This window comes from Homo sapiens, chromosome 20, assembly GCF_000001405.40.
Source record: "Homo sapiens chromosome 20, GRCh38.p14 Primary Assembly".
NCBI lineage: Eukaryota > Metazoa > Chordata > Mammalia > Primates > Hominidae > Homo > Homo sapiens.
This window is the reverse complement of record NC_000020.11, coordinates 18647356-18672812: the sequence shown is the minus strand read 5'-3', so window position 1 is coordinate 18672812 and position 25457 is coordinate 18647356. Positions and strand designations below refer to the sequence as shown.

Sequence of the window (25457 nt, the reverse complement as noted above, 5' to 3'; positions counted from 1 at the left end):
AGGAAGTTTGCTAGACCCTACTGAATTCAGCAGGACCACTTACAATGAGGATGTTGACTTGTTAGGTATCTGCTTTAGGTTTAACCAATGGAGTTCCCCTATCTATCCAAACTCTGAAAAGGGGAGAGAAGATAACTTGAATAGTATAAAAGAATGTAAGACCCATAAAATAATCCTTTCATTCTTAGAGAATTTTTCTGAAGCTAAAATTCTTCAAAATACTGAGTTAGGATATCATTTTGGAAACTGTTATAAAATACCAATTTGGGAAATATAGTTTGACCCAAACAGGGAAACAAATCTTTTTTTCTTGAAAGTTAGTATTGATAAGCTTTTTGGTGAATACCTAAGTTCAAAAAAAAAAACTGAAAAAAGCTATTCAAACTCACTAGATTTATTTAGCTATGGCATGTGAAACAAGCATCATGCCCAAGTCTGGAGTCAGCTAACTGCTTTACAAAGGTACTGAGGTTGCAAAGGACTTAATTGGTTCATAAGCTATCTCTAAACAGGTTGATTTTTTTTTTAATTTTCTTTGTCTTGTAACAATGATGACTTAGCTTTTACATTCTTTTATTTGTGACAGGGTCTCACTTTGTCACTTGGGCTAGAGTGCAGTAGTGCAATCACTGCTCACTGCAGCCTTGACCTCCTGGACTCAAGTGATCTGCCCACCTCAGCCTCCTGAGTAGCTGAGACCACAGGCATGCACCACCATACCTGGCTAATTTTTTAACTTTCTGTAGAGATGGGGTCTCCCTATGTTGCCCAGGCTGGTCTTGAACTCCTGAGCTCAAGTGATCCTCCCACCTCGGCCTCCCAAAGTTCTGGGATTACAGGTATGAACTACTGCGCCCAGCCAGCTTTTGCATTCTTAAAAGCTGTATTTCAAGGTGGTTTGACATCTGGGTTGCTCTTGAACGTTCTGGTGACTGTAAATGGAGAAGTTTCTGCACACTGGCCCCAGCTTTCCAAGTTTATGTTTCCTGCCCTCAAACTTCTTGCCCCAGCAACCTCACTTCTCTCTCCAGGCCCAGGTCTGGTGAGGACCAAGGGGGCTGCTCTGCTCCCAGAGACCACAGTTTTGTTTTTGTAAATGTAGATATACATGTCCTGGAAGTCATCAGAAATTAAGCAAATATAGTCATGCCAAAATATTCCTTTTAAAACATCTGCTCTAACAACAACCAATTAAAGTGATGACAGAGCCTCTGAAAAGTAAAAGAGATGACCATGCTAGTGCTGTTTTTAATGCTTTATGCAATAAATAGCACAGGAGTAACTTATCCAGCTTACTCTGCCTTCAGCCTCTCGGTTATGAAGTCAATGCTTTAAAAGTGGAATAACTCAGACTGCAATTGGCCAAAAAACATCAAGCTGTTCTGTGCTGATGGAGACGGGATAAAGGCCTTGAGAAATAATGAAAAGGAGGCCCTGCACTAGGGAGTTATATTCATTCATCATAGGGATCAATTAAAACCTCCGCATGACCCCAGACTCTTTACAACTACAATGTTTTAAACATTTTTTCATTGAAATGTTCTCAATTAAATAAGCCATTAAAGTAAGAGAACAAAATTTAAACTGTAATGAGACCAAGGTCTCAAGATAAAATAAATACTAGAGAATGAGAAAGAGGCCCCTTACATGAGAATGTCATGTGAAGTGGCAGCCTTTCTCCATCCACCTGCCTTGATTCTACTAAGCAACAGAGCCACAGACTGCAGATTCCAGGGCATGTGCACAGTGGGGACTGTTTGGAAGAGCACTGACTGAGGATTGACAAGGCATCTCTCAGTTCCATTTCCATGAGGTTGTCATCCACAACCACACCCAAGAATGGCCAGCACACCCAAGAATCTGCCGAGTGGGTCCATGGGACAAACACTAAAGGAAATGACACAAAATAATTCACTATGAATGCCACTAGCACTTGAGACTCACGTTTTTCTGTTAATAGGTGATACTGATGATGATGACAATGTTTTCACTGTCTGGATGTACAGAAACCTCTGAAGGTTTCACTCCATGGCTTCTCTGTTCATTGGCTTGATTTGCTCTTAGCCTCTCATGAACCAATGAAGAACGACAAGATTGGATGTGAGCAGGAGAAACAGCAACACCATGTTCTCATTCCAGTGACACAAAGCTTCTTTATTCTGAGTAAACGACTTTATTTAGAACTCTAATCAAAAGCAAATATTTGTTGACTGCCTACTCTGTGCACTGCAATGGGAGCTGTGGCAGAGTTTTAAGTTCTGGTTCTTGCCTTAAGAAGTTGATAATTTAATTGCAGAACAAGAGATGAGCTCTTGAGAAGTCAAATGGAAATGACTTACATTTGTTTGCTTGTTTTTGAGACACAGCCTTGCTCTGTCACCCAGGTTGGAGTGCAGTGGCGTGATCTTGGCTCACCGCAACCTCCGCCTCCTGGGTTCAGGCAATTCTCCTGCCTCAGCATTCCAAGTAGCTGGGATTACAGGCGTGCACTACCATACCCAGCTAATTTTTGTATTTTTGGTAGAGATGGAGTTTTGCCATGTTGGCCAGGCTGGTCTCGAACTCCTAACCTCAAATGATCAGCTCACCTCAGCCTCCCAAAGCGTGGGATTATACGCATGAGCCACCGCACCCAGCCAAAATGACTTACATTTGAAGACAATGAGAGCGCTAACAAGCGGCTGTACACATCAGCAGTACACACACACGGACATCCCATGCCTGCCATTCAAATTCAAAATCCAAGCTAGAGAGAAGAGGGCAGGAAGAAGGAAGCTAATTTGCAGCCATGCAGGTGACAGAGTTAGAGCATAGACTTGTGGACAAGAAAATGCAGGTGTGCGCTTGCAGACAATCCCTACAGGGAAGCAGTCAGAGACAGGAATGGAGATACAGACCTGGCTCGCCTGAAGTTTGATCTTTACCCCCAATGGAACTGGAGCCAGCAAAGACTTGTGGAGAGAACTGCTGTGATCAAAGCGTTCAAGAAATGTTAAGCAGGCCACGGTATGCAAGACACAGTACAGAAACCCTTGGCATGCAGACCCCCCCGGGAGCGATTGGAATAACCCAGTTTGGAGTGATAAGGCCTCAAGTTCAGCAGTCACACACACACAAAATGGAAAATCTGGGTCATCTGCACCTAACTTTTAGAGGCTGGGGAGAGGGGTGAGTGAGGCACTAAGGGCAGGCCCAGCAGAGCAAGCGCTCAGTCGACAGTGGTCACTCGTTGTTTTCATTATCACCAAGATGTGGATGAACAAGCCCTGGTTACAGATGAGGAACAGAAAGCCAAGGAAAAGGGGGTAGATCCCAAGAGCCTGATCCGATGACAGAATCCTGCACATGACAGGAGAAAGAGGAGCTCAGCCGAGGAATGCAAAGACGGGCCAACTTTCAGGCGGAAATACCTGGCCTTCAGTTTCATGCAGGTCCACAGCCTGGAGGTAGTCGCTGACCTGAGGGAAGGGACAGGACTCTCAAGGAGAGGGCATCAGGCAGCATCAAGGGCAGACCCTTGACCAGTGGGAGGGGACCCTGCTGGCAAACCCTGACTCCAGAGCTACGGCTTCCACACTGTGTGGCCAAAGGCCCCTCAGGAGTGGCCTCAGAGACGCCCCTTCCCACACACTCCTACTCACCTCACTACCCCCTGGTCCCCATGTCAAACAGCAGCTCATGATGTTTCCTATTACAGTCCAGATATAATTACAAGTCCACAAAGGGGTCCTTGCTAAGGAAGCTTGAACACAAGTGCTCTATAAAGTGCCCTCCCTGCCTTTTGAGGATGGAGCCAAGCCATCAAGGTGAGCTGCGCCTCTCAGATATGCCTGTTCTGGGCGAGACTTGCACCTCAAAGATGCTCGTTAGCCAGAATAAGAAGAAACACATTTCTGAAAGCAAGGTGGCCACAGCTGCAAAAATGTCCAATTCTATAGCATTAAAGCTGAAAAGAAAACCTTTAAATGACCTCACATTCAGCTCTAGAAGTTGAGAGGCAGAAAAATCTGGAAAAGGGCAAGTTAAGCTATTTAGTTTCCTCAAGAAAGAACAGTGAGCAGTTCAGAGAGGACTATGAGCTGCGTGAAAATGAGAACCTGGTAGCTCATTTCACTCAACAATGCCACTGTGGCTCCAGATGCAGAAGAAAACACCTCACAGTAATGACTCGGGGGCTCAGTCTCTATCCCCTGACCACTGGCAGTGGTGGCCCCAGGAGCTCTCACACTCAGGATGGGGCCTTGCCACAGGTGTGGGTCAAGCTAACTTCACCGACAACAGAGGTCTTCAAATGGTGCCACCGTCCCACTGCTTGGCTCCTGGCTCTCTCACCCCTAACAGTGGCAGGATTCAGCTGCCATTCTTCAGCATTACACTTGCATGCCAAAATCCTCACAGAAACATAACTGCCTGCTCCTTTTTAGAGCTGTTAGGAACTGACCTGTTTATCATGTGTGTAACACACTGACATCCCATAAACAGAAACTCAAGAAAATTCAAAATTCAAAATAGCTTGTCCAACTATATCCTACAACCAGGTAGCACTCAGCACTCATGCTATCGTACTAGCCCAAAATGTGTTTCTAAGTTTCAAAACATAAATCAAAAATAGATAATAACTGGTACTACAGACATCTGGTATCTTAAAAATATATAAACACATGGACAAACATATGTTGTTCTGTTCAACAGTACTGCAAGAACCAAATACTGACATTTGTAACACCTTCAGGAAGCTATGTTAAAAGCAATGCATCTTGTTTTCTTTTGGAAAAAGAACTGGCAGCCTCTGTCTAAATGTATCAGCCATACACATGTGCAGACAGTTTAACGACTGCCCTGGGCACCTTCGCACGTATAAGCATTTCTCATTTGGGATACGCAAGTCATTCCCACCTGAGGTAGGTAGATACTCCCTATGCATCTGACGAGGGCCTTCTGCAGGTCAAGTAATGTGCCAGGTGCCAGAGATAGAAGAGAAATGACCTGGCCCCAGAGGCAGAGGCGTGGGGAGAAGGGAGAGGGCGCTCAGGTGGGGGGCTTTCTGTGGAAACCTGGCAAACAGATTTAGGTAAGAAGCGGCAAGTGACTGGACTCATTAACACAGAAGCTGGTGGTCAGTTCATAAGGCAGACGGATCCATGTCATAGTTGCTGAAAGTCACCTGAACGTGTGGCAGGGCAAGGAAGAAATGCCTTCATTGGATCAACAAATGTTCAAAAAAACACCCGCTGTATGCCAGGGGGGACCTTCCCTTCAAGGGACACACGCCCTCTCATGTGCCATCCTTCTTTCAAGTAAACTGATAAGAGGGGAACTGCCAGCAGAGCAGCCCCATTTGGTTCCCGAGTCCCAAAACCTCCTCTCTGCCTGGCCCATCAGCGATCTTTCAGCTCTGGAAAGGCTCGTCAGGGCCGCTTAGACAACAGTGGTCTCCTCTCCAGGATGAGCTGAGCCATCTTTGAACTCTGCAGTCCCTGGCTGCTTCCTGGAACACCTGCTGCTGATGAAAAGCAGGCCCCAATTTGATGGGTACCAGCTGCTGAGAACAAAACACTCAAGGTAATCGTGGTGCAGAATGGCTGCTTTAATGAAATGCAATGCCATCTGATGGGCTAGGTGCACTTCATGAAACGAGAGGTCGGGTTTCCTTTTAAAAGCAAACTACACAGATCCCTTTGGCATCCCCACCACGTAGCCCTCCTTGGTTTCCACATCCACTTAGAATTCTCTCACACCTGCTGGAAGTCATGGGTCATAAGCAAATCACAAGTGCCTCATACTGCCAGGCTGGATGGAACCGTTTGGCTGGCTGCTGCTTTAGTCACCTGGGGCTGCTTCCAGGAGCAGCGCCTTCTTCCCTGCCCCTCCCACAATCTGCACTTAGAAATTCGGTACAAATCCCTTGTTTTCTTCAACTCTGGGTTTCATTTATAGGGGTTGGAAACTAATGTGCTTTTTGGCTCATATAATGAGAAAAATCTTTTGATTAAAACACACACATAAACTGATTCCTTTTTTGAAGCAAACAAAACTATTTTCCATGTTGCTTTAAAAAAAATTAAGTAGAGAAAGTACAATCACTAAAGTATATCAAACTCTGCTGAAGGATGACAGAAAGTAGGAAGAAAGCTATACCAAGAAGATAGTGAAATCAAACTCAAAATCAAACATCAAGGGAAAGAGACAAATCTTTCTTACAGAAGAATTCCAAATAGGGTTGCCAGATTTAACAAAATACAGGACGTCTAATTAACTGTGAAGTTCAGATACTGCAAGGGACACACACTAAAAAAAAATTTCTTGTTTATCTGCAATTAAATCTATCTGGGTGTCCTGCCACTATAAATAATGCATGTAGATAACTTCAGGAGATGGGGCTTAATCCTCTCAACCCCTTTAAGAAAGGACTGTGCTTAGTGACTCACTCTCAAAGAACAGAGGAGGAAAAGAGAAAAATAGTAGCTTTACAATGGAGAGTCCTGGCCAACATTACATTAACCAGGTGATCAAGGTTAACATCACCAGGGATGTCACATACCCCTTGACACGATATGAGAAGAGTACTTCAGCTTTTTGGTACTCATCCCAAAAACCCAGAACCATAGTCTATCACTAGAAAAACCTTGGACCCAGATATTCTATAGAGTACATGGCCAGTCCTCCTTAAGACTGTCAAGGTGGTGAAAAACAAGGAAAGGCTGAGAAACTGTCACTGACAACAAAATGCAATGTGGCAGATCCTGAAACAGGATCCTAGACTAGATTCTGGAACAGAAAGAGGATATAAATGGAAAAACTGGTGCAATCCAAAAATATGTGTTTAATAGTAATGTACCCAATGTCAGTTTCTTAATTTTGACAATATGTTGTGGGGGTAACAGTGGGGGCAGCTGGATGAGGTATATGGGTACTCTCTATACTCTCAGCAACATTTCTATTTTTGCAACTTTTCTGTAAATCTAAAATATTTCAAAATAAAAACTTAAAAAAGAAATATTTGTGTGTAACATGCGAGAGAAAAAATAAACCCTATAGACCACATACATTCTTTTGTAAAGCATTATTGACAAGGCTATAAAAATTGACTTGTATTTTGTTTACATTTCAGATGACTAAGTAACCCTTGCAAACAAGGCTGTAAAGGATGGGTACCTCATCAAACCTAAAGACTGCTACTTTTCAGGAATGGTGGTCCTAAATGCCAAAGATGTTTCAGAGCCACTTGTCAGTTGTAACTCAGGACACCATTCAAACTAAGAATATGTAACTAAGTTGAGTAACCCACACTCTTCCTGGAACTCACAAACTAGAGAAACTGCCAGGGCAGAACCACCAGGCTCCTGAGCCTGATGGAAAGGCAGGTCTGACTCCACGGCTGGCACTCCTCAAGGGGATACCTGAAGAGAGCTTCCCCAGAGCCGGGGCTGATCCCAGGAGGCAGGCCAGCCACCAGTGGAGCACTAGGCAGATGCCCTGCTGGCATCTGTCTGAGAGCTGCTGTTGGAGATGCCTGGGCCTCTAATGAAGTGCCAGCCTGTCACAGAAGCAGACACTGGGCACAACTGCCAAGACCCCCTGGCCCCCAGCCCCAACTGAACCCACCTTCCTCTCAGCAGCAGTCTCCAAACTCAGTGATGGCCCACACTACTGATAAAAAGATTGGGAGCATGCTCCTCCCATAATGCCCGTTCACTACTTATAAGTTAGCTATGTCTTCCGTGGTATTCACACACTAAAAACATTATAAAATGGTCCGAGATACATATAAATAGGAGTGGTAATATTTACTTTCCATCCTCCAAGTGGCTTTTTATTATTTTTTTTCTGACAGCCCACACTAGAGACCACTGGCTTATTAAGTCCCTGAACCCCACCCACCCCGTGTACCCAGGTCTCCCTTAAGGAAGAGGTGGGGGAAGATGGGATTTGAGGCAACTAGTGACCCTAACCTAGCTCTAGATGCCTGAGAAGGGTAAGGCCTGCAGGGCCCCTAAACTGACCAGCAGGAGCCCCTGGGCCACACACCCTTGCCTCACACACAACACACCCCACACTTCTGCCAGAACCGTAGATTAAAAAAGCAAACTGGCCATGTCATCTCTCTGCTTAAAATTTTTCCAAGGCTTCCAAAACTTTGAAGTCAACATACAAAGTGCTTAAAATGGTGTCCACAGCTTCAACTGAGTTCCTGAGCCAAATCCATTCCCCAAATCAGCCCCCATCACCCCTGGCCACCACCACACAGATCTGCTCATGGATTCAGGACAGCATCACCGCAGAATCTTGAATCCTGCTGTAGAATTTCCCATCACCGAGGACATTACAAGAAACAGCATGGAGCTGAGCCCCAGAAGCCAATACCATCAGAAAGCAGGAACACAAGGGGCATGAAGGCAGTCGGTCCCCTCATCATTAGAACATCCTAGAAGACTCTATGAGTGGGAAGAACACTTTCTCATGCTCAGAGGTGAATACACCAGGCATTCATTGTATTATTCCTTCTTATAGGTCTTAAATAAGAATGCACAGTAAAAATTTTTGGAAAAAAAGAGTGAAAAGGACATACACAACATGAACTCTGTTCACAGAAACAATTCTGTTCTGAAGGATTGTTGAAAAAATAAATACAGTCATCCATCACTTAACTGTGGGACACATTCCAAGAAATGCATGGTTAGGTGATTTCATCGTCTTGTGAACATCACCAAGTGACTTACACAAACCTAGATGATAAAGCCCACTACACACCTAAGCTATGTGGTGTAGCCTATTGCTCCTAGGCTACAAACCTGTACAGTAGGTGATATGGTTTGGCTTTGTGTCCCCACCCGAATCTCATCTTGAATTGTAATCTCCAGAATCCCTACATGTCATGGGAGGGACCCAGTGGGAGGTAACTGAATCATGGGGGCACTTTCCCCCACGCTGTTCTCATGATAGTGAGTGAGTTCTCATGATATCTGATGGTTTTATAAATGTCTAGCAGTTCCCCCGCTGGCACTCATTCTCTCTCCTGCTGCCCTGTGAAGAGGTGCCTTTTCTACAATTATAAGTTTCATGAGGCCTCCGTAGCCATGCATAACTGTGAGTCAATTAAATCTCTTTCCTTTATAAATTAACCAGTCTTGGGTATTTCTTCGTAGTGGCATGAGAACTAACTAATACAGCATGTTACTCTACTGAATACTGTAGGCAACTGTAACACAATGGTAAGTATTTGTGTATCTAAACATAGAAAAGAAACAATATTATAATCTTATGGGACCAGCATCATGTGGATATATAGATGAACCACTGCATAGATATATGGATCCCATTGTTAACCAAACATCATTATGTGGCATGTGACTGTAATTTGATCTATTAAATTAAATGAGCCATACATTTTGGTAAGAACATAGATCAAAGTACTTAATAACCTGTTGTATGGAAACTTTGTATATTTTTTTTTTTTATAGATACAGAGTCTCGCCATGTTGCCCAGGCTAGCCTAGAACTCCTGGACTCATTGATCCTTCCATCTCAGCCTCCCAAAGTGCTGGGATTACAGATGTGAGCCACCACACCCAGCTATATGGACACTTTCTATGAAACTTTTCTACCAAACTAGATCATGAAAACAAGGTTGCCAGCCCTATTAGGGCATCCCATGAAACTTGGATGCCAGCCCTATTAAGACCTTTTCAAAGGAAAAGCCATTGTTAATAGAGAGGTTAACACTGTCCTTCTGACCTGGGTAGGATACCAAAGGGGCAGGGAAGTGAGAGGATAAGACCACTGGGCATAACCAGAGACACATGGTTCCTGCCCCAGTCACAACCCCAGCCTCTCCAGGCCCTGGACCCTCATTCCCCATTCCCACTACACAACAAAAGCAATATAAATGACTTTGCGATAAGAGCCATAAAAAGAAAGTTAATTTATCAGTAATTTCACCTCCTGAGCCACAACTGAGTTATCTGAAGCAGCTGTGTCCATTCAACAATGTGACAAGAAGGCCAGAACTGACAAGATGGCTGTTTTATATCTATTTAAAAGGAAAGTGGAACAAAAAAAAAAGGAGGGGGGAATATTTGACTTCTCTCCTATTATCCCTTTGGAAATGTCAGTACACATAGGATATAGGTCAACTGCATTCTTTTTAACTGGCGCACAGTATTCTACACTATGGACAAGACACCCTTTGTGTAACCTTTCCTCTACTGATTAGCATTTTGGTTGTTTGGATAACGCTGTATTGAGCATCCTTCTACCAATACCCTTCTGCACATGTGTATGTGCTTCTGGAGCAGCTTGCAGAAGTGGAATTGCTCAGTCAGGTTAGGTCTGGTTCTGATTTTACTCAGCATTTGCTGACTGCTTTCCAAAAATACTCTCCCCCCCACCCCCAGCTGGGCATGGTGGCTCACACCTGTAATTCCAGAACTTTAGGAGGCTGTGGCAGGCAGATCGCTTGAGGTCAGGAGTTCAAGACCAGCCTGGCTGTAGCAGGCAGATCGCTTGAGGTCAGAAGTTCGAGACCAGCCTGGCCAACAAAAATTGCTAGTATTATTGATTTTTAATTTTTACCTATCTAACAAGGCAAAACATGGGAGCTTGTAACTTGCATTTCCTGGATCATCAGGAAAACTGAACGTCTTTTCACAACTTTTTTTTAAGAAATGGGGTCTCGCTCTGTCACCCAGGCTGGACCGCAGTGGTGCAATCATAGCTCACTGTAGCCTTGAACTCCTGGCCTCAAGCGATCCTCCCACCTCAGCCTTCTAAGTAGCTAGGACTACAGACTTGTACCACCATGCCTGGCTAATTTTTATATGTTTTGTAGAGACAGGGTCTCACTATGTTGCCCAGGCTGGTCTCAAACTCTTGACCTCAAGCAATCCTCCTGCCTCAGTCTCCCAAAGTGCTGGGATTACAGGCATGAGCCACTGTGCCTGGTCTCTTTTCAAATCTTAATGTCCATTTATATTTCTTCTGGACATTACCTGTTATCAGCCTTTTCTCCGTTTCCTATGGCTCTTCAGCCTTTTTTTCCTTATTGATTTGTAGGTGCTCTTTATGGATTCCAAATATTATTACTTTGTTTAAACAAAGTTTCATAAATGGAGAGGAATACCATGTTTAAAGACTAGAAGACTCAGCTGGGTGCAGTGGCTCACGCCTCTAATCCCAGCACTTTGGGAGGCCAAGGCGGGCAGATCACGAGGTCAGGAGATCAAAACCATCCTGGCTAACACGGTGAAACCCCGTCTCTACTAAAAATACAAAAAATTAGCCAGGCGTGCTGGCGGGCACCTGTAGTCCCAGCTACTCAGGAGGCTGAGGCAGGAGAATGGCATGAACCTGGGAGGCAGAGCTTGCAGTGAGCTGAGATCGCACCACTGCACTCTAGCCTGGGCGACAGAGCAAGACTCTGTCCCAAAAAAAAAAAAAAAAAAGACTAGAAGACTCAACACAGTAAAAAAGTTAAATCTCTGCAAATTGAGTACAGGTTTAATGTAATTCCTATCAAATTCCCAGCATCATTTTTTGTAGTCACAGACAGCTTTTTCTAAAATTTATACAGAAAGGCACAGGTCCTAGAACTGCTTAAAAACATGTCTAACAAAGGAGAATAAAGTGGGAGGAAATACTGTACCCAACATTATGGCTTACTATGAAGCTACAGTGATCAAGATAGAGTGATAATGGCAGAGGGATAGGCACAAAGATGAATGAACAAAACAGAGCCCACAAACAGACCACACAAGTCTAACTAGTTTTTGACAAAGGTATAAAAATGGAGGCAAGACAGTGCTGGATCAACAAGACATCTATAGAAGCAAAGAAAATGAACCTCAGCCTAAAGGTGGGTAGATAAAATCACTGTCAATATCCTGGTTGGGATATTATCTGTGGTTCTGCAAGATGCTTCCATGTTAGGAGAAACCGGGTGAGGGGTACACAGCATCTCACTGTATTATTTCTTACAATTGCATGTGACATATAGTAACCTCAATACAAAATTCAATTTAAAATATTACAAATATTTTTTCCTAGCCTAACTTTTTTCTTCTGAATTTGTTTATGGTATATAGGGTTAATTTTTATCTAGTCAAAATATATCCCCTGGATTTATTTAATATTTTATATTTCACAATTTTCTCAAAGTTGCTAAAATGAGCCGATAGGATGTCTATTTTAAACTCTCTTTATACTAAATAATTTTTTTTGTAATAAAAAGCCTTTTTGTTTTCTTTCTTCCTTTTTCTTTCAGTTTCTGCTTTGCTAAATAAAAGCTTCTTTTTTGGGCCACCCACGGTGGCTCATGCCTGTAATCCCAGCACTTTGGGAGGCCAAGGCAGGCAGATTACTTGAGCTCAGGAGTTCGAGACCAGCCTTGGCAACATGGCAAAACCCTGTCTCCACAAAAAAATACAAAAATTTGCCAAGCGTACTTGTGTGCACCTATAGTCCCAGCTACTCAGGAGGCTAGGATGGGAGGATTGCTTGAGTCTGGGAGGTTGAGGCTGCAGTAAGCCATGATCACACCACTACACTCCAGCCTGGGCAACAGAACGAGACCCTATCTCAAAAAATAAAAATAAAAAATACTTTTTTTTTGAGACGGAGTCTCGCTCTGGCTCCCAGGCTGGAGTGCAGTGGTGCAATCTCAGCTCACTGCAACCTCCACCCTCCCGAGTAGCTGTGATTATAGGCTTCCACCACCACGCATAGCTAATTTTTGTATTTTTAGTAGAGATAGGGTCTCACCATGTTGGCCAGGCTGGTCTCAAACTCCTCTTCTGACCTCAAGTGATCCACCACTTCGGCCTCCCAAAGTGCTGGGATTACAGATGTGAGCCACCATGCCCAGCTGGTAAAAAAATATTTTTTTTCTTTCTTTCTTTCTTTTTTAAAGTTATGGGATACATGTGCTGAACGTGCAGGTTTGCTAACATAGGTATACATGTGCTATGGTGGTTTGCTGTACCTATCAACCTGTCATCTAGGTTTTAAGCCCCGTATGCATTAGGTATTTGTCCTAATGCTCTCCCTCCCTTTTCCCCCCACTCCCTGACAGGCCCCAGTGTGTGAAGTTCCCCTCTCTGTGTCCATGTGTTCTCATTGTTCAACTCCCACTTATGAGTGAGAACATGCAGTGTCTGGTTTTCTGTTCCTATGTTAGTTTGCTGAGGATGATGGTTTCCAGCTTCATCCATGTCCCTCCAAAGAATATAAACTCATTCTTAAAAAAATATATTTTTTGATTAACCATAATAAACTCTATAAAAGACAACATTTAAAAAATTAAACAAACCTGAGCATGACATTAAAAGATATGGTTAAGTAATCTCAATTTCAAGCTTAAGTTGATATGACAAAAGAGAAATTAAACATCATGAATATAATGGAAAGGGCACATGTACTTGTAGCTGTTCATAAAGGGAGGGAGGAAAGAGTCTGCAAATCGAGGAGAATGGGAGAGTCCCCTTCCACAGGTCAGCCTGGGCACTCATGGTGGGGAGCAACAGGGCCAAAGGTGCAAACCAGTGCTGGGCACTGCTTTTGACGAAGTTTGTTAGCACCTGACTCAGGCTTGCATCCATCAGACTACGTCCCAGAAAGAAAAGATGTCTGTTTCACTTTTCTAAAACTTTCTTGAGGAGTATACAAAAAGTATTAGTTTTGAAAATATAAATTCTTCTTAAGAAAGCAGCCATGCACATTTGAGATCTCTGCTTACGCTTTTTCTTTTTTTTAAGAATTCATTTAGATATCTTAGAACTACAGATAATAAAGTTCATTTTCAATTCCTAAAATGTGCCAGATGCCATTCTTTCTACAGAGTGCACAAATGTGCCACCTTTCTACAGAGAGGTAAGTGACCTGTCCAAAGCTGTCAGATGCCACACCCAAGCCTGGGGCATCAGGGGGCTGCTTCTCTAAGTGCAAGGCTCACTCTGCACCACAGTCACACCAACTGCTAATCAGTGTCCCACCCCTACATAAGTGGGTAAGGCTGCTTGTACCAAAACTTTCTTCTTTGATGCTAACATGGGGAGTGTTAATAAAGACTGACTCTGTGAAACAGATAAACATTTATATGTCAGTCATGTTTAACCAGTAGAATAGGAAAAAGTAAAGTCAGAGATCTTCCTCTTCCTACAACTTACTAACCAAGTTACCTGTGTGTTTACATGGGGTTGCACTCGAATGACAAACCATTAACAGACATTGAGAAATGAAACTGGCTAGCACAATGACTTCATCTCAGAAAAGAACATCAAAGTTCATCCACATTTTCATCTATTAATATCTATGGCAAAGACATAAAGCATAACAAACATTTAATTATTAGAAATTAAGTACAAATATCATGAGGCTGAGGCAGGAGAATGGCATGAACCTGGGAGGCGGAGCTTGCAGTGAGCCGAGATGGCGCCACTGCACTCCAGCATGGGCGACAGAGCGAGACTCTGTCTCAAAAAAAAAAAAAGAAATTAAGTATAAATAGAAGAGACACTAGCTATAGCTTGGTATTCAGACCTATAGCTAAATCTTTTAAAAACAACAACAACAACACACAGGGGTGGGGGAAACACACACACACACACACACACACACACACACACACACATCTCAGACTCTTATGCCCTCTGCCTAGAATGTTCTTCCCCCAGATACCTACACAGAAAGGGGCTTAATAAATACTTTTTATAGACAGAAATAATGCTTCACAAGCAAACCTATTTAGTATCACAGAGCCTTGCCACTTCTCTCTCCCACTGTGGTAGCCAGCCTCCAAGATGTGCCCCAAGTATCCTTGCCTCCTGGTATTCAGGCCCTGTGTACTCCCCTCTAATACTGAGTAAGGCTGACCTCTGTAACCAATAGAATATTGTGGAAATGTGTGTGTGATTTGCAAGGCGAGGCCCTGAAGGACGCTGTAGCCTCCACCTTGAACTGCTCACTCAGCACCATGTCATAAGCCACGTCAAGCAGGCCTATGGGGAGGCCCACGTGGAGAAGAACTGAACCTCCTGCCAACTGCCCAGAAAGCCTCTCCTGAATTCCTGGCTCACAGAAACTACATGAGATACTATATGTTATTGTTTTAAGCCACTAAGCTTGAGGTAATCTGTTACACAGTGATAGATGACTAATAGACATATCTGTATTTCTTTCTAAGATTCCAAGCACTCAATAGACAATAAGTGCTTGCTGACTTGAATTAAGGCAGTGGTGAGAATTATTTTCTGCTGAGCGATCTGGACTCCCTCATTCTGCTCCTTTTGTTGGCCAAGCCCACATTTGGGCAACCCAATTAGCTAAGGTTAGAGGTGCTATCTCTGGCCAAGAGAAATGGAAAGATTGCAGAAAAGTGATGGTCTGAGTTTTAGACCATTTTTATCTCCAAAGTCTCCAAAATTACTAGAGGTTCTTTGTCTATTTTCTAATAAATAAGAAGGGCTATTATCCTTTCCCCTTGTTTTTTTTCAGCATGTTGCCAACAGAGTAGTAATGCAAAAATAGTAATGCATGAACTACAAAAGGCCCAGTGCTAGGTTACCTGTTAATCGGCAAAGTAGGCACTCTCAGCGCATCCTGCTCATTTGTTGAGTAAGGGGTCCCCGTGACCAAAGAAAGACCACACATAGGTGATGGGATGTGCAAACTGGAACCTGAGAACGGCTTTTCCTTTACTTATAATAGTATTGCCTTTGACAAAATTCAAAGAAGATCTGTGGATTAGTGTTGTATCAATGTTAATTTCCTGGTTTAGATCATTATATTATAGTTACAAAAAAAACAACCATTAAGGAAAGTTGAATAAAGGTATAAAGGTGATCTGCATCCTATTTTTGCAACTTTTTTTGTATGACAAATTATTTCAAAATTAAAAAGTTTAAAAACTGGAATTTATTTAAAGTAACAACAAAAAAGAATATTGCCATTAAAATTTAAATGACACTAAGCCCATTTACTGAAAGGCTCTGATGCCGGTTTTCCAGGATGCACTTGGAGAGGCTGTTCTGCCACGGCCACGACTAAGGAAGGTACTGAGACACGTGTGGAGTCTAAGCTTGATTTCAAACCTCCGATTCCCTGGTAAACAGAAGACTTCAAGTGAATGGGGTGTGGTGTTAGCTATGTGAGGGCTGCAGGGACAAGAGCTGTCAAATCTACAATGGCACCTACTCTGACGACCAGAGGAGCGAGGCAGACATAGTGCTCCCCCAGCATCCATGTGCTCCTTCGTGTTACCTGCCAGCCTCCCAAGAACTGAATGGGAACATGAGCAGAGGTGATGTGTAAGAGTCAGTGAGGTGACTCCAGATCCCTGTTCCTCTGTCACCAGGTGGTGACACAAGCTAATGGAGACTGGATTCCTGAGTCAACAGATGGAGGAGACTCTTGCCAAACCGTGTAGTACTTTAGCAAAATTAACTTTTATTGTGTTAAGCCATAGAGATTTCTGAGTCTGTGTGCTGTGACAACTAGCATTTCTTAAGATAATCCCTATAAAGACAGTTCCATTTAGAGAATAATTAACCTAGAACTAAGAAAAAAGCCAAAGTGCTAAAAATTATCAAGTCACAATAAAATATTTGTAGAGAAGAAAGAAAATATCCAAGCCTTCTTTATTTCTAGATGTTTCCTCCATTTTCCTACAAAGAAAACAGAAGTAAGCAAATATTTACATAGAAAAATACTGCCACACTGCCTGTGTTAGGGAAAAAAAAGAAAACAAATGAGGCCAGGTGTGGTGGCTCACACCTGTAATCCCAGCACTTTGGAAGGCTGAGACAGGTGCACCATCTGAGGTCGGGAGTTCAAGACCAGCCTGGCCAACATGGTGAAACCCCGTCTCTACTAAAAACATAAAAAATTAGCTGGGTGTGGTGGCGCATGCCTGTAATCCCAGCTACTCGGGAGGCTGAGGCAGGAGAATCACTTGAACCTGGGAGGCGGAGATTGCTGTGAGCCGGATCACGCCATTGCACTCCAGCCTGGGCAACAAGAGTGAAACTCCCTCTCAAAAAAAAAGTAAAAAGAAAAAAAGAAAAAGAAAACAAATGAAATGCCCATCATTTAGGAAAAGAATATGGCCATTCAATGAAATACCCTCTGGGGACACCCAGGTATTGCCCCTGACGTGATGTGTGCTGCACCCACAATGCTTCCCTCCAGCATGGCTCTCAATTGTCCACGCTTACAGCCCTGCCATTTCACAGGGACGCCCATGCACTTTCTGTGATGGCTGATAATTGCTGATACAAGATGACAGGTGCATGATGGTCCATTATACTACCCCCTCTACTTATGTGAGTTTGGAGTTTTCTATAATACAAAGTTTTAAAAGTAAGTATTTCAGAAAAAAATTGCCATAATTAAAACAGACTTACCCTTGCAACAAACAGAAATTATCACTCTCACTAAAAGAAGCGAGAAAACTAACTCATACAGATAAAGCAACTGGCCTAGTACATCACAGGTCAGAATGGGTTGCTAACAGATTAACTCATTAGTCTACTATAATCATTCACATAAATTCAGTAGTAATCGAAGCTATCTGTATCTGGATTAATTGAAGAGAGTTCATAACCTTCTCTGAAAAACAAAGATACTAAATTGGAAGCATTCCCACCAGACCTCATTTCCTAGGCTGTATTACAGATCCTAAAATTATGGGTTCTTGTTTTGTTGTTACTGAAATTAAGTTTAAGTGTTATATCATAACATAGCTAAACATTCTAATAACCAAAAACACTCTTTGAAATAACTTTATTCCAAACTACAGATTAAAATGAAATACATAAGCATGATTCATAAGCATTTATTAATTTTCTGAATCATGATTACTTTCTAAAATAATGTAATCTCACTTTAAAAGCACTGTTAATATTGATTGATGCTTTTAAAGACAAAGGGTTTTTTAGCAATGTAAGAGACTTTTATTCCCGTATGTATAAAACCAAAGCCTCCCTTACCAACTTAACCTTTTATTCAACAGATTTTTTTTTTTTAATGAGCTTTCTCAGGTTGAATAGATTATTTTTCTCAGCCCATCAAATATAGAGAATGTTTCTGACAGAGAAAAATACAGGTTCTGGAGATGAGCCAGTGTGACTCCCAGAGCTCTGGCCTGGAGAAACACAGCAGAATGGGTAAGCACTGAACAATGGCTTTACACACAGGTACTGAGAGACTCTCCTTAACACCATCCAAGCTTTGGGGACAGAGTCCACAGATAGACCTGTAAACCCCTGCAACTACACTGAACTGAGCTGGCCTTCGAAGAACAAATGGCAAGGACTTGAATACTTTCCAGAGCAGCTCACTCCTGGAGGACCCAGTGCCACTGCATTAGTCCATTTTCATACTGCTATAAAGAAATACTCAAGACCAGGTAATTTCTTTTTAAAAAAGAGGTTTAATGGACTCATAGTTCCACATGGCTAGGGAGGCCTCACAATCATGGCAGAAGTGGAAGGAACAAAGGCACATCTCACATGGTGGCAGGCAAGACAACATGTGCAGGGGAACTGCCCTTTATAAAACCATCAGATCTCCTAAGACTTGTTCACTATCATGAGAACAGCACAGGAAAACCCTCCCACTGGGTCTCTCCCACAACATGGGAAGATTATGGGAGCTATCATAAAATTCAAGATGAGATTTGGGTGGGGACACAGCCAAAACATATCATCCACCCACTGGTCTGAGAAATTCTGGAGTTTTATTTGTTTAAACAGACCATATTATAAATTGGAAAGAAATCATATTTAACGAAGTTCAGTCAGAAAAAAATGTAAAGCAGTGCAGCCTGAAAGACTGTTTTCTATTGGGATCCAGCTCTCTCACTTAGCCATGTCACATGACCTTGAACAAGTCATTTGAGGCCATCCCCATGCCCCTCCCCTCTCATGATGGCTGTGAGGGTCATGTGCATGGATTTGAAACTTTAAAACTGTTTGTTCTCAAATGTGTTTTTATTAACAATGATGCTCTGTTATTATAACCCTCCTTCACATATAACAATTTCATTTTTCAAAAGCAAGGTTTACTTTTGGAATTATACATTTCCAAAACAACAGCTTTCTAACATTTCATTTTTAACTAGTAAATAAACTTTTGGAAAGAATGCCAGAGCTACTATCCAAAGACAGATGTCTGATTAGAAGTTTATGAATTAACCACTGTCTAATTGTTAAACAAGTATGCTATTTGTCTGTTTAGATCATACACCTTTCACAGTAATTATAAGCCACTAATAAGTAAAAATTATTTGAATTTCATAAGCTTACTTTAATTTTTAGAGTATTCTTATTTCACACTCAAAAATCAACATATTACTTTCACATATTAGCATACTTTAGACTAATATTTGAGTTCAAAGACAGCTAATTTATGAGTCTGTTTGTTTGTCTTGAGACAGAGTCTCACTCTGTCACCCAGGCTGGAGTTTGGTGGTACGATCTTGGCTCACTGCAGCCTCAACCTCCCACGCTCAGATGATCCTCCCACTGCAGCCTCCCAAGCAGCTGAGATTATAGGCATATGCCATAATACCCAGCTAATTTTTTATAGAGACAGGGTTTCACCATGTTGCCCAGGCTCTTCTCAAACTCCTGGGCTCAAGCAATATGCCCACCTCAGCTTCCCAAAGTGCTGGAATCACAGGCATGAGCCACTGTGCCTGGCCTGTTCTTTAATTAATTAATTAATTAAGTCAATGCCATGTGGCCACAACCCACCTGCTAAAAGCCCCAAGCTGCAGCTGGGTGATCCCTTTTTGCTTCAGGAAGTCTCAGACACACTGGCAAAAATTCTGTTTCTTAAGCAAGTCAGCCAACAACTGCTCCTGAACAACTCTCTCCTCTATTCCCCAGTGCCATTTAGTCCCTAAACAGACATGAAAGCATCCATCATTCTGTTCTAAATTCAGCAAAAATCCACAATTTATCATACTATTTTTAGTCCCACCCCATATCTGCATAGAGTTTTGCAGTCTACAAAGCATTTTTCCTATTGTGTCTCCCTTTCTACTGCTTCATACTGATGGAAATTCGGATGCTACTCCTGATATCCAAAACAGGTCTACAAGCTGGAGTTGAGAGTGCTTCATCAAAAATGAGACCAAAGTGCTCCAGCGGGATGGAAATGTCAAAGCTAGCAGAGTCCGCTTATGGGTGCCAGACCCCTAAGACTACACAGGACAAGGCAGCCCAGGTAGAGACCCACTGCTCAAAAGTGGAGCTAGGAGTGTTACCCGTGTATCCCTGAAAGGGTCCTTTGGTCCTCTGAGGCCCTCCAGGCTGCACCTGCCTTGGTCTAAAAGCTGGATGGGCCCCTCCAGACTCAGCCTGCCAGCTCCTGAATAGGAGCCAAGTACGCACCAGAAAGTAAAAATGTTGTCCAAGATTGTGACTGACTTTTAATCCTAGGAGTTACTCTACCTTATTAAAGATTGTAAACTGAATAAAACCAAAATGGCATTTTTCTTTTATTGCTTTAGAAAATATTTTTATAGCTATTATTTTCCAGCTAATATTTATTGGGAATCCCCCAAATGCCTAGAAGTGCACTTAATTTCAAGGACGGGGTATATAAGTTTATGCAAAGACTCAAATCCAGACACTTCTCAGTGCCTGCATGCTGCCCCCTGGGCCCGCCCTATGTCAGCCCCAACCACTGCAGACAGTTCCACGTTAGCTTCAGCTCAGCTGACAGTCAGTACTCCTCACCAGGCACTGCAGGTCTTTTTGCCATGAGGCCTTCTCAGAAGCCATGGAAGCCTGCTGGCCTGCTTGAACTGCCAATGGGGACAGGAACCAGTGGCTAACGGCCCTACCTCTCATCCTCTGGACACATACCCTGGAAAGCATTCTGTCCACTTTAAATAAGTGGGCTGGTTTGAAAGACCCCAGATCTACCTCCATCCCTGCCCAGCTACAAGAATCTGGCAAGCCCTATGCCCTAATCTTTTGGGGCAGTGTTCTTAGCCTAGATCTTGGACTTTTGGCATCCCAAAGGATGCCAGAGCCTACTAAAACCACGGTTCTCAATCTTAGCTACAGTTTAGAATCACCTGGAGAGCTTTGAAAAGTCTTGATGCTCAGACCACTCTCCAGAAAAATTTCACTGAACCGTTTTGGGGAGGGGCCCAAGCTGCACAGGGCTCAGCCTATGCTGGGACCTGAAAGTTCTAACGCTGGCCAGGAGCAAGATGCAGTGACAGAACTCTCAAAGGGGGCAGTCATGAGAGCGTTAAGACAAATCCTCTCTTTATCAGAATATACTGGAGGCAAAGGAGCCACAGAAAGACAGCTAGGCAGATTATGTACCAACAATTTTTAAAACTACCAGCTGTTGGCTGGGAGCGGTGGCTCACGCCTATAATCCCAGCACTTTGGGAGGCGGAGACGGGCAGATTGCCTGAGGTCGGGAGTTCAAGACCAGCCTGCCCAACATAGTGAAACCCCTCTCTACTAAAAATACAAAAATTAGCTCAGTGTGGTGGCATATGCCTATAATCCCAGCTACTCTGGAAGCTGAGGCAGGAGAATCACTTGAACCCGGGAGGCAGAGGTTGCAGTGAGCCAAGATCACACCACTGTACTCTAGCCGGCATAACAGAGTGAGACTCCATCTAAAAACAAACAAACCAAACAAACAAACAAAAACTAACCAGCTGTTGTAACAGCTTTTTTGAAAATCCACCTCTTGCCACTGCTCTGAAATGGTATCCTTTATTATATTCTCAACTTCCCATAAATAATCAGGTTCTCTTTCAGGTCTTTCATCTAGTCTGTTAATAGGTTTCTCTCCTGCTCTGCCAGCACCATCTGTTGCATTACTAGAGCGTTGTAACACATTTTTATATTTAGGAAGGCCAGTACCCTCTGTGAGATTTTTTAAAATTACATTTATCTTTTTAATTCCACTGGAATTTATTCTAAGGTATGGGATAAAGGATCTAAAATCATTAATTTTCCATAATTGCCACCAGTTGCCCAATTACTACCTGCTGAGAAATCCTCCATCTGCCTTTAGTTTGTAATGCCTGCTTTATCCCATGTTACAACCTTACACAGCAAATAGCACATAGTCAATTCTGAGCTGCCTCTTGCTTTCCCATAATTGGTCTAAGATCCCTGCCCTTGGGGAACTTATATTTTGGCAGGGAAAAGAGACAATAAATGTAAAAAGTAACTAACCAATAGATACAGTGACAATATTTTAAAAGATAAGTCTGACAAAGGAAATCAGAAGTGGAGCAGCATGGGGCACTGGGGGTTCAGTGCAGGGCAGCTGCAGCATGAAGTAGGGTGCTCAGCGTGCAGGCCAGGAGTACAGAGCAGGAGGGCAGATTTCATCATGGAGAAGGATGGCCAGGATGTGGGCAGGGAGGACGGGGCCGTGATAGGCTGCAACATGACAGGGTGACAGGGCTGATTTCACAGGCAAGTGACCTGAGCAAGCACACAGGGCCTCGCACTCAACTGGTTCTGCACTTAGTTAAATACTCTGCTATAGCCATGTAGAAACTGTTAACAATTTTACCTGTTTTGTTTTTGTGTTCGTTTTTGTTTTGAGACAGGGTCTTGCTCTGTCACCCAGACTGGAGTTCAGTGGTGCAGTCTCAGCTCACTGCAGCCTTGACCTCCTGGGCCCAAGCAATCCTCCCAACTCAGCCTCCTGAGTAGCAGGGACTACAGACATGCACCACCACAGTGGGCTAGGTTTTTTGTGTGTTGTTTTGTTTAAATTTTGTAAAGATAACGTCTCCCTGTGTTGCCCAGCCTAGTCTCAAACTCCTGGGCTCAAGCAATCCACCTGCCTCCACCTCCCAAAGTACTGGAATTACAGGCGTGAGCCACTGCATCCAGCCCAATTTTACCTTCGAATGTGTGTTTTGTAGGTGAAGTCCAACAGGACTGTGGCGCATGAGCATGAGCGGAGGTGATACACACAATATGGGGGTCTGACACCTTTCTCTGCTGCCTACTGAGCATAGCACTTGGGATTCCATGAGCACCGCGCTGGGTGGGCCCACAACGCATGGGGGTTCAGCGACACTCAACTCACATTTACAGTAAGCGTGTTACTTCTACAACTGAGTAAGGGGGTGTTGAAAGCCCCAAGAGCTCACACTTTCCATCTGAACCAGAACTTGCCTTGAACACAGAAAGAGCAATGGTGTTCTAAGAAAGATGAATGGCTTTGGGAGGCCAAGGCGGGCGGATCACGAGGTCAGGAGATTGAGACCATCCTGGCTAACACAGTGAAACCCCATCTCTACTAAAAATACAAAACTTAGCCAGGCTTGGTGGCAGGCACCTGTAGTGCCAGCTACTCGGGAGGCTGAGGCAGGAGAATGGCGTGAACCCGGGAGGCGGATGTTGCAGTGAGCGGAGATCGCGCCACTGCACTCCATCCTGGGCGACAGAGCAAGACTCCATCTCAAAAAAAAAAAAAAAAAAAAAAAAAAAAAAGAAAGATGAATGGCTGAGAAAGCCCATCAGAGTCTTTCTCGCTCGAGTCTTGTCTTGTGTTAGCCACCACTTCCCCTGGACATACTGACTCAGAAAGCAAACAAGGCGACCCATGGCTCCCCGACCTGACAGTCCCTCCTGACTCATCAGTGAACTGAACAAGACAGTGGTGGCAGGACATGTGTGAGACAAAAAGAAGGAATATGTTAGTTCCCACTGTTCTGGTAAGAATGAAATTCATATGATGTAGGAGCTACAAAATACAAACTGTGTAATTCTGGTCATTCCACATACAAGTTAAATTTGCTTTTTTTTTTTTTTTTTTTTTTTTGAGATGGAGTCTTTCTCTGTTGCCCAGGCTGGAGTGCAGTGGCGCGATCTCAGCTCACTGCAAGCTCTGCCTCCCGGGTTCACGTCATTCTCCCGCCTCAGCCTCCCGAGTAGCTGGGACTACAAGCCCCTGCCACCACACCCGGCTAATTTTTTGTATTTTTAGTAGAGACGAGGTTTCACCGTGTTAGCCAGAATGGTCTCGATCTCCTGACCTCGTGATCCGCCCACCTCGGCCTTAAATTTTCATTTAAAACTGGCACTGCACAATATAAATGGTAAAATTCACGCCAATAATCTAAATTTTTTATTTGTCCTTGGTTATAATGACTTAAAATAGAAAATAGAAGCACCATGACAAGTGGAGGAGGAAGAGAGAGAGATGAAAGAAGAGAAAATGCTTTGCCTTTTAGTGCCTTTAAAAGTACTTTTCTACTGCTTTTTGAACAAGGAGTCTGGCATTTTTCATTTTACACTGAGACCTGAAAATGCTCTAATTCAGCCTATGGATGACCTAGGAAAAAGGTCCCCAAGCAAGGCACTGGGCACTCTCTTGTCATCCTGGTCCCTCGCTGTACATCCCAGATCATTGCTCCCAAACTCAGCTGCAGACGCAACCATCTCTGGTCCCATCCCCAGAGAATCTGGTGTCATTGGCTTGGGGTACAGCCTATGCACTGGGAATTTTCACAGCAACTCAGGTGATTCTAATGCACATTCAAGGTTGAAAACCAGTGGCTTAGGTCAAAGCTACCAAGTACTAAGCACACCTGCCCACCAACAGCCACAGATCCTGCAGTTGGCCTCCCAGCAAGGCCTCCCATGGTATCAGAGAAGACTGCACCAGCTTCCTATACCCGTGACCTGGTCCTTTATCTATAATATGAGCCAACAATGAAGGGCCACTGGCTATTTGAGGGAGATTATCAGCACCAAAGAGAAGGGATCAGGTGAACAAAGAGAACAACTGGTCCTGCAGGGCCAACAGTGATTCAGGGAACAGAAGAGATCTTTTCAAAGCCCTGCTCCTGATGTGGGCCCCATCTAGGTTGATGACACCACTCTCCCCTGGCCCCTGCCCATCTGTTCCTGCTCTGTTCCTCTCTACCCTGGCCCAGTGCAGCAGTTCTCACCTTTCAGGTCTTTCTGCCTCCTTTACCTTGCCCAGTCCAATCTATCTGCCATCCTGCTACAAGAGGGTCACAGCTGAGGACGACTTCTGACCTTCCCCTCACTGCAAATCCCTCCTCAGTGGCTGCCCACTGCCCACCGCCAAAAAACAAAAGTACAAGCTCCTTACCAGGACACAGCATTGCCACATCTGGCTGCCTCTCCATCCTCATCATCCTCCCCACCCCCTGCCTTCTTGCCCCATCAGACTCACCTGCTTTCATTCCCCAGGAGGTTCAAGCCTCCATGCTCGTGTCCTGATCTTCTGGGCATGCACCACCCTTGCCCCAAGCTTTCAGACCCAGCTGCCTCTTCCTCAACCTTCGAGATGCAACTAAGACATCTGTTCTGTGCTCAGGGACACCTATTCTGACGACCAAGCCCCCACCAAACCTCCCTGTATTCCACTCACTCCCTCAGCACCAGGCAAATAACATCCTCTCGGAACTGCCCCAATGTGACTTCCATCTC

General features: G+C 43.7%; 1 protein-coding gene across 1 annotated transcript in view, besides 2 other annotated features; it reads right to left on the bottom strand.

Moving 5' to 3' along the window:
- Positions 1-25457, bottom strand: part of DTD1 (D-aminoacyl-tRNA deacylase 1) — a 178591-nt gene that overhangs the window by 93832 nt on the left and 59302 nt on the right. The window lies entirely within an intron of this gene.
- Positions 3021-3520: an enhancer, noted in NCBI's record as "H3K4me1 hESC enhancer chr20:18649937-18650436 (GRCh37/hg19 assembly coordinates)". NCBI's record gives its function as "activates a minimal SCP1, AML or CMV promoter by ChIP-STARR-seq in naive H9 embryonic stem cells {active_cell/tissue: H9 hESC(naive)}" and the evidence as "EXISTENCE:reporter gene assay evidence [ECO:0000049][PMID:30033119]".
- Positions 24576-25077: an enhancer, noted in NCBI's record as "NANOG hESC enhancer chr20:18628380-18628881 (GRCh37/hg19 assembly coordinates)". NCBI's record gives its function as "activates a minimal SCP1, AML or CMV promoter by ChIP-STARR-seq in naive and primed H9 embryonic stem cells {active_cell/tissue: H9 hESC(naive and primed)}" and the evidence as "EXISTENCE:reporter gene assay evidence [ECO:0000049][PMID:30033119]".